The 15,865-nt window shown below is 40.9% G+C and overlaps 1 protein-coding gene across 1 annotated transcript; it reads right to left on the reverse strand.

Moving 5' to 3' along the window:
* Window positions 1-5,939: 5,939 nt before the first annotated feature.
* Window positions 5,940-10,613, reverse strand: LOC124901354 (small integral membrane protein 30-like). Its single transcript, XM_047419629.1, has 2 exons — window positions 10,592-10,613; window positions 5,940-6,094 (listed from the first exon to the last, which is right to left on the reverse strand). The coding sequence occupies exons 1-2, from the start codon at window positions 10,611-10,613 to the stop codon at window positions 5,940-5,942; spliced, it is 177 nt and encodes a 58-aa protein (XP_047275585.1).
* Window positions 10,614-15,865: the final 5,252 nt, after the last annotated feature.

Genomic DNA, 15,865 nt, shown 5'->3' on the forward strand with positions numbered 1-15,865 from the left:
AAGAACTGCCTGAGACTGGGTAATTTATAAAGGAAAGAGGTTTAATTGACTCACAGTTTCGCATGGCTGGGGAGGCCTCAGGAAACTTACAAGCATGATGGAAGGCAAAGGGGAAGCAAGGCATCATCTTCACAAGGTGGCAGGAAGGAGAATGAACGCGAGAAGAACAACCAAACACTTATAAAACCATCAGATCTCATGACTCACTTACTATCATGATAACAGCACGGGGGAAACTGTCCCATGATTCAATTACCTCGACCTGATCTCTCCCTTGGCATGTGGGGATTATGAGGATTACAATTCAAGATGAGACTTTGGGTGGGAACACAGCCAAACCATATCATAGAGTGAAAAGGGAGATGGAGGGCAGAAGGAGGAAAAGACTTTCAGAAATAAGAGCAAAATAAGACATTTTAGACAAACAAAAACAGAGAAACAACTACTGACAGATCCTTATTTTTAAAAATTCAAAAGAGTATACTGTATTCTGAAGGAAACCTACCTCAGATGGAAGACCTAAGATGCAAAATAAATAAGCCTTCAGCCCACCGAGATTTTTCAAGGCCATCCCCAATGCAGCTGCTATTTTCAGCTTGCACCCACTTAAAAGCCCACCAACAAATTAAATGGAGAAAAGATAGAGACCACCATCCCTGCATTATTTATTTAACAGTGGCACCAATTCCTGGAGCTTGATAAGGTTTTTGTCTTACTATCTTGGCCACTGGTTGGGATGGGACAGGGAAGCAGTTTTAGACCCACCTTAGATCCAAAGGTGTGGCAGTGGGAGGCTGTCAATCAGCCGTGCTTCTCAAAGCTAATTCCCCTGAAGAACATCTGAGTGCAGCACCTCCATGGCCACCACAGAGAAGAAAGGGCATGTGTGTTCTGAGAGGTATGTACAGGAATATTTATAGTGCAATGTTTGTAATAACCCCAAACTGGAAACAAACTCAGATGTCCATCAACAGGATGGTAAATAAATGCATAGTGGCATCAGCATACAATGGAGTGCTATCGGGCAATGAATGAACTATAGTATGGTGCATACATGTGGATGAATCTAAAACAAACAATGTTGGGGCCAGAAAAAGTAAGTACAGGAGAATACTGTATAGTCCCATTGATTAAGTTCAAATATAGGCAAAATTAAATTATACATCCTTAATGATATGTACACAGGTGGTGAAACCATAAAGAAAAGCAAACCATTAACACAAATATAAGAATAATCGTTACTTCTGGGAAGAAGAAAAGGGAATCACAGAAGGCTTCTAAGAAACTGATAACATTCAGCAGAAATATCTTTAACAAGTGGTTTCATACAAGGTGTTCATTTAATATTGTTCTTTGGACCATACATAGTGTCTTATAGACCTTTTCTGTATATGATGTCTTTTACAATAAAATGTTTAATATGACTGTTTAATTAGACACATAAAAAGCATTTGATTTTTTTAAAATACCTTTAGCAAGCTAGATATAGAAGAAATCTTCATTCAAATGATGGCTACTAAATAGAAACCTACAGCAAGCATCACACCTAAGAGCAGAACATGAAAAGCATCCCTACTAGGGTCAGGAGAAGAGAAAGGATGCACTGTTGTTACTAGTCTTCATCCTAAATGGTAGTCATATATTTCTAATGGATTTGAATACATTTAACTCACTAATGAGTAGTTGGTACTTACTCCATTTATCATACTGACATAAGGAAGACTGACAGTCTCATCACAATGTAACTTTGTCATAGTCCCGGAAACAATTATACATATGCAGTCCTGACTTGCGTTAATAATGAATTAATTAATCCCAGCACTTTGGAAGGCCAAGGCAGGCCAACATGGTGAAACCTCATCTCTACCAAAAATACAAAAATTAGCCGGGCAGGGTGGCAAGCACCTGTAATTTCAACTACTTGGGAGGCTGAGGCAGGAGAATCACTTTAATCCGGGAGACCAAGGTTGCAGTGAGCCGAGATCACACCACTGCACTCCAGCCTTGGCAACAGAGCAAGACTCCATCTCAAAAATAACAATAATAATGAATTAATTAATTATTCCAACAATACTAATTGTTTCCAGCTAAACTTGTGTGGAATTGTAATTCTATTTCTCTCATTCTTTTGATCATGGGTCATCTTTCAGAGAGTCACGCCTCCAGAAGATGGAACAATGAGGCAATCTGGTCTAATGAAAAGTCTGTAGACCTTGAAGTCAATCAGGTGTATGTTCAAATTTAGCTCCATCACTTCCAAGCTGGGTGTGACCTTGATTGTATCAATTAATCTCTCCAGTCTTCTATTTGACATCTTACAAAATGAGGATAATAATGCATACTCTGCAGAAATGTGAGTCCTTGAAATACTACATGTCAAGGACCTAGCTCAAAGCCTGGGTATAAAAGATGATCAAAAATGGTCATAGTTGTCCAGGCGTGGTGGCTCACGCCTGTTATCCCACGACTTTGGGAGGCCAAGGTGGGCAGATCACCTGAGGTCAGGAGTTTAAGACCAGTCTGGCCAACATGGCGAAACTAAAAAATACAAAAATTAGCCGGGCGTGGTGGCAGGCGCCTGTAATCCCAGCTACTCGGGAGGCTGAGGCAGGGAGAATTGCTTGAACCTGGGAGGCAGAGGTTGCAGTGAACCAAGATCACACCACTGTACTCCAGCCTGACTCCATCTCAAAAAAAAAAAAATGGTCATAGTTGTGATTATTTTATTAACTTCACAGTAGCCAGCTAAACTCCTGAAACCAACCCCCAAAATGTTGATTAACAGTTGACAGAGAACGCTGGTGTGCTGCCATGGCACTTATTAGCCCTGTCTTATTCAAATGTTTATCAATCGCTTGAAACATAGCCTAAATGATTATTAAATTTCTAGATGATATAACGATAGACCAAATGACTAAAACACTGTGGTCCCCAACAACACTAGGACCAAAACCAACAGGATGAAATTTGATGTGAGTAAAAGGAAGGACCTGTGTTGGATTTCCCTGACATTGCACTTGGCACAGGACAAGCAATGATAGCATCTAAAGGACCCTCTTGTTTGTGAGTTTGGTGTGAGCTAACAGTGTGTGAGCGTCTATAACACATGCGAATTTAGTTTGCCTGACAAGGTTAGCAGTACCCTGAATTTAAAAACAGAGAAGAATTATGTGGCCAGCCCCAGTTACAATAAGCAGACAAGGCAGCTCTCTCTCCTCAGTAGAGCAGCATCACACATCTCAGAGACCCCTATGGAGTGGTGGTGGGAACATGCGGACTTGAATTAGATTGCTATCAATCCACTTTTAAACTACTAACATGTCTGTTTCTAACAGCCTCAGGGAATAGGCATTACAAACCATCACAAAAACTCATTTTTTTAAAAAAACACATGGCAGCAACCATAATAATAAAACTGCACAAAAGAACCAAAGCAAGAAAAAGCAAGAAGGAAGAAAAGGTCAGCATTACAGTGATGTTGATTGGATTGCAATGACCTGTTCATATTCTTGCTTTTGAAACACCAGGTTCTCTAGGTCATTTAAAAGGAAACTAATTAATTGCTTCTGATATTTTCTTTCATCTCCAAATCATGTCTCTTTTTTTTTTTTTTTTTAAGGTTTTTGGCTACACATTGCCACTGGGTGGAGCTCAAAGTCCACAAAAGCACCTTGGAACCAGCAAGTAAATAAAAAGCAGCCAGCCACGGACTCATTTTCAGACACATAACATTTACAATATTTTTTTTCTCTTGTATTGATACGTGAAGAAGCACAAACACTGAATGAAAGGAAGTGGCCATCTTTTAGAAAGAAAGAAAGCATCTCTGCAACTGAAAAAAAAAAAAAACAGCCAGCTCGGAAAGAGATTGCGGAAGTGGTTTTCAGAGATCAATAATATGCAATTATTGACTTAAGCTGAGAGTGAGATTGGAGGCTTACAATCATAACGAATTGAAGTTCTTGCATAGAGAATTTGTTTTGCTGTATTTTTTTATCACCTTTTTTTAATTGCACAGAGGCACTTGCAGCTTGGCAGCTTTATTTTGCATAGGTACACTGTGTGAATGTGTGTATATTATGAGTATAGGTTAAATGCATTCCTGTAAGAAGGCCCAGAGGCTGCCTGTGGGGCCCAGACAGTCCATCTGCTCCAGCAACCATCCCCTTGGGAAAATAAAACGTGAAATGCCACTAAGACAACCGATTATTATGCTGTTTTAGATTAGGCAACTTGTGCTTTCCCCCTTTGTCAAACCCCTGAAAGGAAGAGTTGCAAACCAGAAGAGAAAATAATAATGAGCTTTTCATTACCTCCAGAGCATGAGCTGAAAGTTTCTTTGACAAAGAGAGGAGGGAAATCGGATGTGTCTCAACTGGCTCCAGTTATATTAGCATTTTTCTTTTGTAGCTACACTAGCATTTTTCCAATTTCCAGTTTTCTTTTCTTGGGCTAATAGTACATGTTTAACAAAATTTAATTGAGTTATAACGAAATAGCTAACACTAAAGCAGTACTTATTATATGTGAATGCTGAGTATTTCACATCTTCACCCCTTTTAATACAACAGCCCTTTGAGGGAGAGGGAGGAATTATTATCATCTCCATTTTGCAGGCATGGAAAAAAAGCCTCAGCAAAGTTAAGTAACTTGTGCAATGATACTCAGCTAGGAAATGGCAATACCTACCTCAGCTGCCTTTCTGCACCGAAACTCATTCTCTTCCTTTCCCATCAGCATATTTCACTGAAGTCTCAGGATGTCCTAGTTAAAAACAAACTCAGTCAGAGAGAAGATATGCCGGTTATGACCTACCTTACTCCCGACCCATTACCCCCTAGGTCCCACCCAGCAGCATTGTGATCTGAGGAAAAAGGAAGGCAATGCTCTAGCTTCCCAAGGGGAGGTTTCACCCAAAATAGGCTTAGCATCCCCTCTCCTCCCAGCAGAGAAGCTCAGCAAAAAGTCTGGATTCTACTATCGCTCTCCAGTTCCATCCCTTGGCAGTCACTGAAGAGCACCTCTGGCAGTCACTTAAGAGCACCCCAAATCTTACCACCTGTGAGAGCTTGGGCAGGTGACTTAAACTCCCTTGTGTTTTTAAACCTGTGAAATACAAATAAGAATACCTTCCTCACAGGTTTCTATGGGAATTAAATAAGTTAAAGTATAGAATGCTTTTGATAGTGCCTGGCACTCTCTACAAGCTAACACGTTGACCATTCCCATTATCACTGATGCAATATCGTCGGCTTTGCACCCCACCCTTTTTTTCTTTTACAACATAATGGGTTTATATTTAATATAGTATTTCTCATCAGGAGGATGTTACTCAGTTGATATAAAGTGCTTTTTTAACGTTAAATCTTTTCCATGTCAATGTCTATAGTGTTTTTTTACATTAAATCTTTCCTGCATTTCAGTATTAGATACACTGAATACATTTTTCTAAATGTTTTTTCCCCAGAGATAAAAGTTTCCCTTTTTGGCTATTTGATATCTAAATACAATATTAACTTGGAAGATAACAAAACAAAAATCAAATCAAAATATGGAGAAAAGACTCCTCAATGATTCAAGAAGTAGTGATTATAACTGAATACTGGTGATTTTCTAGGATTCTGGGCAAGAACTTCCTTCTTCCTATTTCACGTGCTTTGAGAATTCTAAAACTATGAAATATTACTTATGTAAATTTCAGCCATCTTACTTCCTTGACCTTCTTTCTAACCAGCAAATACAAATTATAGGCTGCATTTTTCTGTGCATTATTTGTTGTAAAGAAAACTCTTTTTTTTTTGTTCCCATTTCATGGAAACAATGAAAAATGTAAAACTCCCCTATTTACTGATTCCTGGAAACTTTCACCAAAGCTCAGGTTTAGCCTCAATAGCACAAAGCCTTTCAGGGTGAGGCTTGATTCAGTAGGCCCTTCAAAGTCACATCTGTCCATTTCTCTTTCGTGCATATACCCCCAAGCAAGCAAGAATGTCTGTAACGCTGAGAACCACACCTAACAAGAGAGTGATTGCATCACCGGCTTCTACTGCTTCACCCAGGCAGCACCAAAATAGTGACATGAGGACTAAGGCAACTGTGCTGAAATTCAGATCATGATGTTGGAATCTTGAGGGCTGAAGGTTCCAAAGAAATGGTATATATAGAATTCTATCTGACTTGAAATTTTTCCTTCCTGGAGCTCCAGGTGCTGAGACTAAGAGGTTCCATGTGACACTGCCTTCCAGGAGGCAGCCATTACAGAAACCCACTTTGCACCCCCTTTTGTAATCACAACCTTCTTATCTCCCCCCTTCTCCACACATGACCACTGTCTGCCATGAAAGTATCCTCACCTCCATGTCCTTTCCGTCCAACGAACCTTGCTCCTGGCAACAGACTACTGCTACTTAAGCGCCACTAGGATTATGATACTCTCCATGCTTAAAAAAAATAATGAGGCTGGAGTGGTGCCTCATGCCTGTAATACCAGCACTTTGGGAGGCCGAGGTGGGTGGATCACCAGAGGTCAGGAGGTCGAGACCAGCACAGCCAAAATGGCAAAACCCTGTCTCTACTAAAAACACAAAAAAAAATTAGCCGGGCATGGTGGCGGGCTCCTGTAATCCCAGCTACTCGGGAGGCTGAGGCAAGGAAAACCGCTTGAACCAGGGAGGCAGAGGTTGCAATGAGTGGGGATCACACCACTGTACTCCAGCCTGGGCGACAGAGCGAGACTCTGTCTTAAATAAATAAATAAATAAATAAACAAATAAATAAATAAATCGTGGCTAGATGCTGAAAATATCTAAAAGCTGAAAGTTCTAGATCATTAGTCCAATATCCAGTGCTTTCCACAGTCTGCTCCCAACCTATCTTTTTTTTGTGTGTGTAAATTATTTTATTTCTTCCATGATGATTTAGAGGGACTATCTTCAAACCAGTACAAATATTTCATAAATAATACCTAGCCAATTTCTAACCAATTGAGTAATTTGTTGCCACCTCACATCTTTTAGCAAGAAATATATTCAATTTGAATAGTAAAGACATTACACAATGAATAAGGACAGAATGAAAATTTGCTTTAAATATTTCTTTGGGAAAGGAGACATCACACTTCTACTCAATGAAGAGAAACATTTTTACAGTCCAGAGGTCTTTTATTTTTCTTAACCCCTATTATGCCATGAATCCAAAGGGGACAGCTTCCAGCAGCTCAGGCTCCTTCCCATTGGTTCTCACAAAGTGTGCTTCTCTGGGTGGAGCAAGCTGGCACTTCAGTTGAACCCAGGTGCCTTTCTCTTTGGCTTCCTTCTTTTTCTGATCATTTTCCTCCACGCGTTTCAGGAAGCTATTTCAGTTCTTAGAGTGCTTAATGTGCTCAATATGCACATTAATTCTCTTGGCAAGAATCTTGCCCTTAACTTGTGTGTTTACAGCAATGCTAACAGCATGCTGGGGAACACTGTAGACTCTTCCAGCTTTGGGAACACTTGTGGGGCATTTCTCCCAACCTATCTTTCCAGGCTTTTCACTGACTTCTCCCAGGTCTTGCTTTATTCCAATCTTCCTGCATATCCATTCCATGCCCTTGTACATACCATTCCACTTGTCTGTATGCTCACCTCCATCTGTCAAAAGTTGACTTATCACTTCACACCTAGGTCAAATTCTCCTTTCCCTCAGCCTGAAGTCACTATTTTGAGTAGGAATCTCCACAGCTTTCTTTTTTGACCACTCATTTATTTATCTGTACATATTCACTCATTTTGTTATTCTACCCTTGTTTTTATGTCCTTTTCCTCAGGTAGATCATAAGCAGATTGAAGGCAGGGATTGTTGAAAGGTGTATATTAATTTCTGTTGCTAAAGGTCCTGGACTGGCATAAAGGCTCTGAAAGGATTATTCACCAGAGCAAAGCTGGAGAGAACTCCTCCCCCAGCCTAGCAGATCTTTGTAACTGTAGTCCTGAGGGTGTGGAAGCTTAAGCAGTTTCTAAGAAGATAAGTGTGAGATACTCAGTCCTTCTGGACTTCCTGAGGTCGTAAAGTATCGTTGGAGTTGCCAAAAGGTGAAAGTAGAAGCCAGACTGGCACCAAGCACCACCAGGTCAATTTTTCCTTCAGGCTCTGGTCAACAAAACATCCCAACAACCTCTTTTTTTGTTTATTTTTGTTTTTCAAGACAGGGTCTCACTTTGTCACCCAGGCTTGAGTGCAGTGGTGTGAACATGGGTCATTGCAGCCTCAACCTCCTGGGCTCAAGCAATCCTCCCACCTCAGCCCTGACAGTAGCTGGAACTATAGGTGTACACCACCAGCCCAGCTAATTTTTGTATTTTTTGTAGAAATAGGGTTTCTCCCTGTTGCCCAGGCTGGTCTCGAACTCCTAGGCTCAAGCAATCCAGGTACCTCAACCTCCCAAAGTGCTGGGATTACAGGTGCGAGCCACCATGCCCTCCTCACTCCAGCCACTTCTAAGGATATAACGGAGACTGCTATTACCAAGAAATATTAACAATGATCAAGAAAGGACATACAGCACATTTGTAAAATAGTTTTAACATTTCTGAATAAATAGCTATTCTCTAATTAAGCATCAAAGAACTCTGGCCAAAAAGTCTGTGAAATAAATTGTATACTTGCTCCCATCCATGCCTCTCCCCACAAGTTTGACTTTGATCTTCCAAACACAGATCATTTTGAAGAAAACATAGCAAGGGAGCCCCTGTCTTGGGATGTTTTTTGATACTTCTTAATGCCTGCCCTGGTCAAGTCTGGGCAGGCTATACTGCAATCTCAGTGGCTCAATAGAACAGAGGTTAATTTTTCACTCACACTACGTGTCCATTGCAGGTGGGGAGCCCTGCTGCATGTAGTCCCTTGGGGACCCAGGTTCATGGAGGCGCTATTAGCTGAACATCCTCAGTGCCTATGGGAGGCAAAGAGAACTCATACCAGCCCAGAAGTGACAAGTCACTTTCACTCACAGCTCATTGGCCAAAAGTGGTCACACAGTTCTACCTATCTGTAAGAAGGGAAATGTACATGAACCTCTTGGTGAGAGCATTCCTGAATTTATCCAAAACGTCTTAGACACACTGCCCTGCGTTTCTCCTCTAATGGATACTGGCATCTATTGCTTCTATAAAAGGTGTAGGAAACTCAATAATGTACTTACATTTAAGTCAACACATGGAGAGAATAGATAGTCCAAGCAAATGACTTCAGTATGTTTAATTCCTGGATCAGGAAATTAAATTCTTTCAGAGCCACATTAACATCTATCACTCTGATTTAAAACTGTCATCTAGGCTTTCTTTGATACTTCTGATTAATGGAATGATTATGGCATAAGACTAAGTAGAACACCTTCTCTTTATTTTGAGTAAAGAATACACAGACAATAAACACTTGAATTTGTTTGGCAAAGAGAAAGATTAAAGACAACATTTTCATTGTGCTGTAGCTTCATGGAGTTGTTTTTTGTGCTGGTGATGATTTTTATTGCCTTTGTCCTATAGAAAAGATTGTACACTGATAAGAACCCCATAACCAGCTTCCCTCACATAAAAATGTGAAGTGACATAACAAATAAATCTATCAGGAAATTCCTCTAATTTAAGTAAAGGCAAAACTCCAGGGACTAAAGACAATAATCATCGTTGCTTCTTTTTGCTGATGCTTAGTTCAAGATGTTTATTCAAGAGAGTTAAAGGGAAAAGAAATGCAAAATACAGGATTTTCAGGCAGTGCTTCAAAATTAAGACCTTAGGGAAAGCAGTTTCAAAAGCAAAAATAGATGCCACCAGTCCCCATTCTTATTTGAGATCTTATGCCAAATTAAATAGGGCTTTGATAATCATCTGGCACAGCAGTTCTCAATCAGTGATGCACATTAGAAACAACTGTGGAGTTTTAAAGTATACATAAACTTGGGCTCAAGCACTGGGATTCTAATTCACTGGGTCTAAGGTTCAGCACAACATCTGTCATGTTTAAAGTCTTGGATAAGTATATGATTTTTTTTTAATTAGGAAGCACATATCTAAAGGTAAGACCTCTCTGTTCCCTAAAGGAACAAGAAATCCTGCCTTCTATTCTCCGATTGAATTTGGAATCACTAATGTAGCCTCCATTTATCCATATGGGAAAAATGAATCAGGCCACCAAGTTCCCACCACCACAGAAAGAGTCACTATCAGAGCTGAAATGGCATCAAGGATTTTCTTTTTCTTTCTTTTCCTTTTTTTTTTTTTTTTTTTTTGAGACAGAGTCTCACTCACTCTGTAGCCCATGCTGGAGTGTAATCACAGTAGTGTAATCACAGTTCACTCCAACCTCCGCCTCCCTCCTCAGCCTCCTGAGTAGCTGGGACTACAGGCACATGCCACCATTCCTGGATAACTTTTGTACCTTTTTTTGTAGAGATGGGGTTTCATCATGTTGCCCAGACTGGTCTCGAACTCCTGGGCTCAAGTGATCCAGCTGCCTTGGCCTCCCAAAGTGGGATTTTCTTAACCAGTAATTGGTCCCCATTATTTGCAGCCAAGTATAATTATAATCATTAAATCCTGCTTATCAAAGTTACTTTTAGAACTATTTATGGTCATTATCTGGCTATGAACAGACTGTCAGTGTGTTCCTGGACCAAACTGAGGGTCGGGCTGCTATTTTTCGCAGCCCAATAACAAGATGCAGATGAACTGGGGAGGAAGAGAGTTTTTATTTCTGTGACCGATTACAGGGAGAAGGCCTGGAAATTATCATCAGACCAACTCAAAATTACAAAGTTTCCCAGAGCTGATATACCTTCTAAGCTATATGTCTACATGTAAGTATGCATTCATCTAAAGACATACGTGATTAACTTATTGTAATCTATAACTAAGGTCTGAGTCCTGAAGACCTTTCTCTGGAGCCTCAGTAAATTTACTTAATCTAAATGGGTCCAGGTGCTGGGGTGATTACCCTTATCTTGCCTCCTGCTAAATCACAGAGGTTTGAGGAGTTCCTTCAGATCCCCAATAAACTTGTTTGTGGAGGCCTGGGGAGTTTCTTCAGACCCACAATAAAACTTGTTTAACCCTAAATGGGTCCTAGTAAGAATTCCTTCATTATTTGGTCATGCTTTAAGGCCCAGGAAAGGCCTACGCAAAACTCTTCATGGGCGTTTGTTACATCCCAGCCTTTGTATAAGGGCGCTGGCTTTTAATATTTAACTTAACCACTCAGTCAGTGCTGAAACAGCTGTTAGTGAGGCCTGGCCTGCCACAAGTGTGAGGCAGTAGAACAGTGGCATTTCCTTTCTCTTTGTAGATGGGATAAAAGCTATGTGAAAATCCTATGTAATGTACCTCTGCCTGCCCTCACACATTCAAGCCACACCAGCTGGCTTTTTCTCACTCAGCATGTCAAGTGGCCTCTAGATGGGTTGGGCCTAAACAGACAGGAACATGGCCCCTGGCATGGAGCAGGCACTGGGGTGGGGACCCAGCTGGGGCCTGGGAGCAGTCCAATCTGGCTGGAAGAACATGTCCTCTACTCAGGGGAGGCTGGTCAGCATTAGGGAAGTCCACCATGGAGTAACAATGAATGGAGTCACATGGTCACCAAGAATTCAGAGGCGGTTGAAATCTGGAAATCCACCAAGAGCTAGACTTTCTTCATCTGGAAAGGCATTGAATTAGGCCCTATGCCTGCTTCTGAGTCTTCTTGAAACTAAGTAAAAGGGCAAAAAGCTGATTTGCACAAGATTCATTTTCTGCTCTAATAAGCATAGAAAATTATGTTAGATAAATGTTTAATGAGACTGAAAGTCAAGGAAGAATATGTCACAGGGGACTCTGATTAAGGAACATATAAGTAGCTTAATTGACTTTCTTTACTGATTTTTAAAAAATAAAAAAAGGGCCGGGTGCGGTGACTCACGCCTGTAATCCCAGCACTTTGGGAGTCGAAGGCAGGGGGGTCAAGAAATCGAGACCATCCTGGCCAAAATGGTGAAACCCCGTCTTCACTAAAAATACAAAAATTAGCTGGGCGTGGTGGCACGGGCCTGCAGTCCCAGCTACTCGGGAGGCTGAGCCAGGAGAATCACTTGAACCCAGGAGGCAGAGGTTGCAGTGAGCCAAGATCACGCCACTGCACTCCAGCCTGGCAACAGAGCGAGACTCCATTTCAAAAAAAATAGTAGTAACAGAGATAATTATTTTACTAACCTCCTTACATAGATTGACAGCAAAACTTTCCTTAGAGTGGCACACCAGCCCCTTTGTCACCTGGGTCTCACATCTTGATTTAGCCATGACTCCCACAGTTCCCAGCCCACAGCACTGAACCCCTGTGCAGAGTCCTAGACTACTTCCTCCCTCACTCCATGCCTCTGAGCTGTTCCATCTCACTGGAATGTCCTTGGTTCTCCTTTTCAACCTTGTGAAATCATGTGAACGGTCAAAGCCCAGCGTAGACATTTCCACTTCCATAAAGTGGTCCCTGTCCCAACCTCCTACTGCAGGGAGAGCTGATTCCCCCATCTCTGCACTTTATACCTGTACACCTCAGGGCTTTCTCATGGGCAGCCAAGATTGAGAATCATTGTCTTAGAACTAGCATCTATCAAGCCGGGGATGGTGGCTCACACCTATAATCCCAGCACTTTAGGAGTCCAAGGTGGGTGGATCGCCTCAAATTCAGGGGCTCAAGATCAGCTTGGACAACATGGCAAAACACCTCTCTACAAAAAATGCAATTAGCCAAGCATGGTAGGTCTCAGCTATTCAGGAGGCTGAAGTAGGAGGACGGCTTGAGCCTGGGAGGTTGAGGTTGCAGTGAGCTGAGATTGTACTACTACACTCTAGCCTGGGTGACAGAGTGAGACCCTATTAAAAAAAAAAAAAAATTTAAAAACCTAGTATCTATCAAATACTTATTTGAAACAACATGAACAATATGATCACTTTGATCTGTACATTTATCCTTCTGTATGTATATAAGCATTAAAATGTCTGATTATGGGCCAGGCGCAGTGGCTCACGCCTGCAATCCCAGTACTTTGGGAGGCCGAGGCAGGCGGATCACATGAGGCCAGGAGTTCCAGTCCAGCCTAGCCAAGGTGGCAAAACCCTGTCTCTACTAAAAGTACAAAAAATTATCAGGGCGTGGTGGCATGTGCCTATTGTCCCACTACTTGGGAGGCTGAGGCAGGAGAAATGCTTGAACCCAGAGGGCTGAGGTTGCAATGAGCTGAGATCGTACCACTGCACTCCAGCCTGGGCAACAGAGCACTCTGTTGTCAAAAAAAAAAAAAAGAAGAAGCCTGATTATGATTATTGTTTCTGAGTGATGGCATTATGGGTAATTTTTTATACTGAATTTTGTACTTTTCTGTATTACCAGAATTTTTTAATGAGAATGTTTTAATGAAATGAATGGTCATTTTAAAAGAAGCCTTCTCTGTCTTATCCAAAAATGTCTACCCATCCTACCCCATTACTCTCTATTTTTATGTGCTATTGGGTTTTTTATATAGCCCTTGCCACAATTTTTAGTTATATATTTATCTATTCATTTGTTTGCTTGTTTATTTTCTGTCTTTGCCTCTTGACTATATAAACTCATGAAGGGGAGGACTATATTATTTTATTCACCAACGTATATCCAATACCTACCACAGTGCCTGGCACAGAGCAGATACTCCAAAATATTTGTTGCTTAATGAATAGGTGGACAAATTAATATGTGTTATAATAGAAGGAAGTTCAACAAACATTGGGGAAAAAAGGAGAGAGTGAATAATTCTGTTAGAAGAAATCCAAGAAGGCATCACAAAGAAGGAGACACATGAACTGAGTCTTGAACAGTTAATAGATTTCCCCATGCAGTGAAGAGGGAGAGCTTTGTAGGCAATGAGAACATCCAGTCCAGAGGTGCAGGAGATATGAAGGCATACACGTGTTTATGAGACAAAAGTTGGGTGTGGCCAGAAGGTAGACAGAGTGATATGTGTACATGAGGCTGCAGAGATAGGTTGGAGCCAATTGCGTAGAGCCTTGTGATTTGGCAAACAAATGGTTCAGTAATGTTCATAAAAGGACTCAATACAGCAGAGTAAGGAATTCAGAAATCAGATTAAAAGGATTTTTATTACATTTTTATTTTGAAGTAATTTTAGGCTTGCAGAAAAGTAGCAAAAATAGAGAGATCAAATATACGCTTCACTCATTTTCCCTAATGATAATATCTTGCATAACCAAAGTACAATTATCAAAACCAAGAGATATACTGGTACAATACTATTAACTAAAATATAGATTTTAGGCCGGGCACAGTGGCTCACGCCTATAATCCCAGCACTTTGGGAGGCCAAGGCGAGCAGATCACTTGAGGTCAGGAGTTTGAGACGAGCCTGGCCCACATGGTGAAATATGGTCTGTACTAAAAATACAAAAAATTAGCTGGGCTTGGTGGCATGCACCTGTAATTCCACCTGCTTGGGAGGCTGAGGTGGGAGCACCGCTTGAACCCGGGAGGTGGAGGTTGCAGTGAGCCGAGATCAGGTCACCGCACTGTAGCCTGGGTGACAGAATGAGACCCTGTCTTGAAAAATAAGTAAACAAAAATAAATAAATAATACAGATTTTATGGAAATTTCGTCAGTTTGCCACTAACATTCTTTTTCTGTCCTGGGATCCAATCCAAGAATTTCACTTTGCATTACTTGTCATGTCTCCTTAGTCCCCTCTCATCTGTGATAGCAACTGATCTTACCCTGTCTTTAATGAAACTTGACATTTTTTAAGAGTACCGGCCAGTTATTTTGTAGATTTTTCCTCAAATCGTTTGTCTGATGCTTTTCCATAATTAGATTGAGTGCATGCATTTTCAGCCCTTCTCAGAGCATGATTCCGGGGGGGGGTCTTATGATGTTGGTATCCAACATTATTGCTGGTGAAGTTAACCTTAGTCGCTGTGTTAGCCAGCTTTCTCCACTGTAACGTTGTAATTTTTCTCTTTGTAATGAATATTTATCTTAGAGTAGATGCTTTTGTTTTTTGAGACAGGGTCTCACTTTGTCACCCAGGCTGGAGTGCAGTGGCACAATCTCAGCTCACTGCAGCCTCAACCTCTGGGGGGTCAAGCAATCCTCCTGCCTTAGTCCCCACAAGTAGCTGGACTACAGGGGCCTGCCACCACGCCCAGCTAATGTTTTTGTACTTTTTAAAGAGACAGGGTTTTGCCGTGTTGCCCAGGCTGATCTCAAACTCCTGAGCTCAAGTGATCTGCCCACCTCAGCCTTTCAAAGTGCTATGATTACAGGCGTGAGCCAGTGCACCCAGCCTTAAAAATAAATGTGATTATATATACTTAAGGCATACAACATAATGTTATGGGATACATATAGATAGTAAAATGGTTACTATGTAAGCGCATATAAATATTTTTATGTTCACTAATGTGAAACAATAAAGACAGCAAGCCAAATGAAGATAATGTTAATGGCATTTCACACATCTTAAATTAGTAATAACAGGTTACTATATAATTAATTCCATTTCCATCCTTTGCTTGCTAAACGTTTTTCAGGATCTCCCTTTCCTGAATATTCATTAGATGCTTTACTGTGTGCCTTGCTTTATTGCAGATGGCAACCAAACACAAAGAAGTTTTCTGAGTTTTTTTATTTTTGTTTTGCTGGAGTTTTTTTGTATATCTATATCTAGTCCCCTAGCCAACTGTTTTTAAACCTTTTATGTCCTAGCACAGAGAAAAAAGTAGGATGAACTAGAAGGTGTTTGTGGATGTCCATATGGGGCTTGGTTAAAAAAAATACAGTTGTGAGAAAAATACAGGGTATCAAATTTGA

Source organism: Homo sapiens, chromosome 6 (genome assembly GCF_000001405.40).
Source record: "Homo sapiens chromosome 6, GRCh38.p14 Primary Assembly".
In the NCBI taxonomy this organism is placed as follows: domain Eukaryota; kingdom Metazoa; phylum Chordata; class Mammalia; order Primates; family Hominidae; genus Homo; species Homo sapiens.

What these genes read in the sequence shown, in the direction of transcription:
- LOC124901354 (XM_047419629.1), bottom strand. Translation starts at nt 10,613, where the DNA reads ATGACCATAAATAGTTCTAAAA. An exon ending in GACCATAAATAGTTCTAAAA is followed by an intron (nt 6,095 to 10,591) that starts GTAACTTTGATA and finishes ATTTCAGCACAG; the next exon opens with TTGCCTTAGTCCTCATGTCA.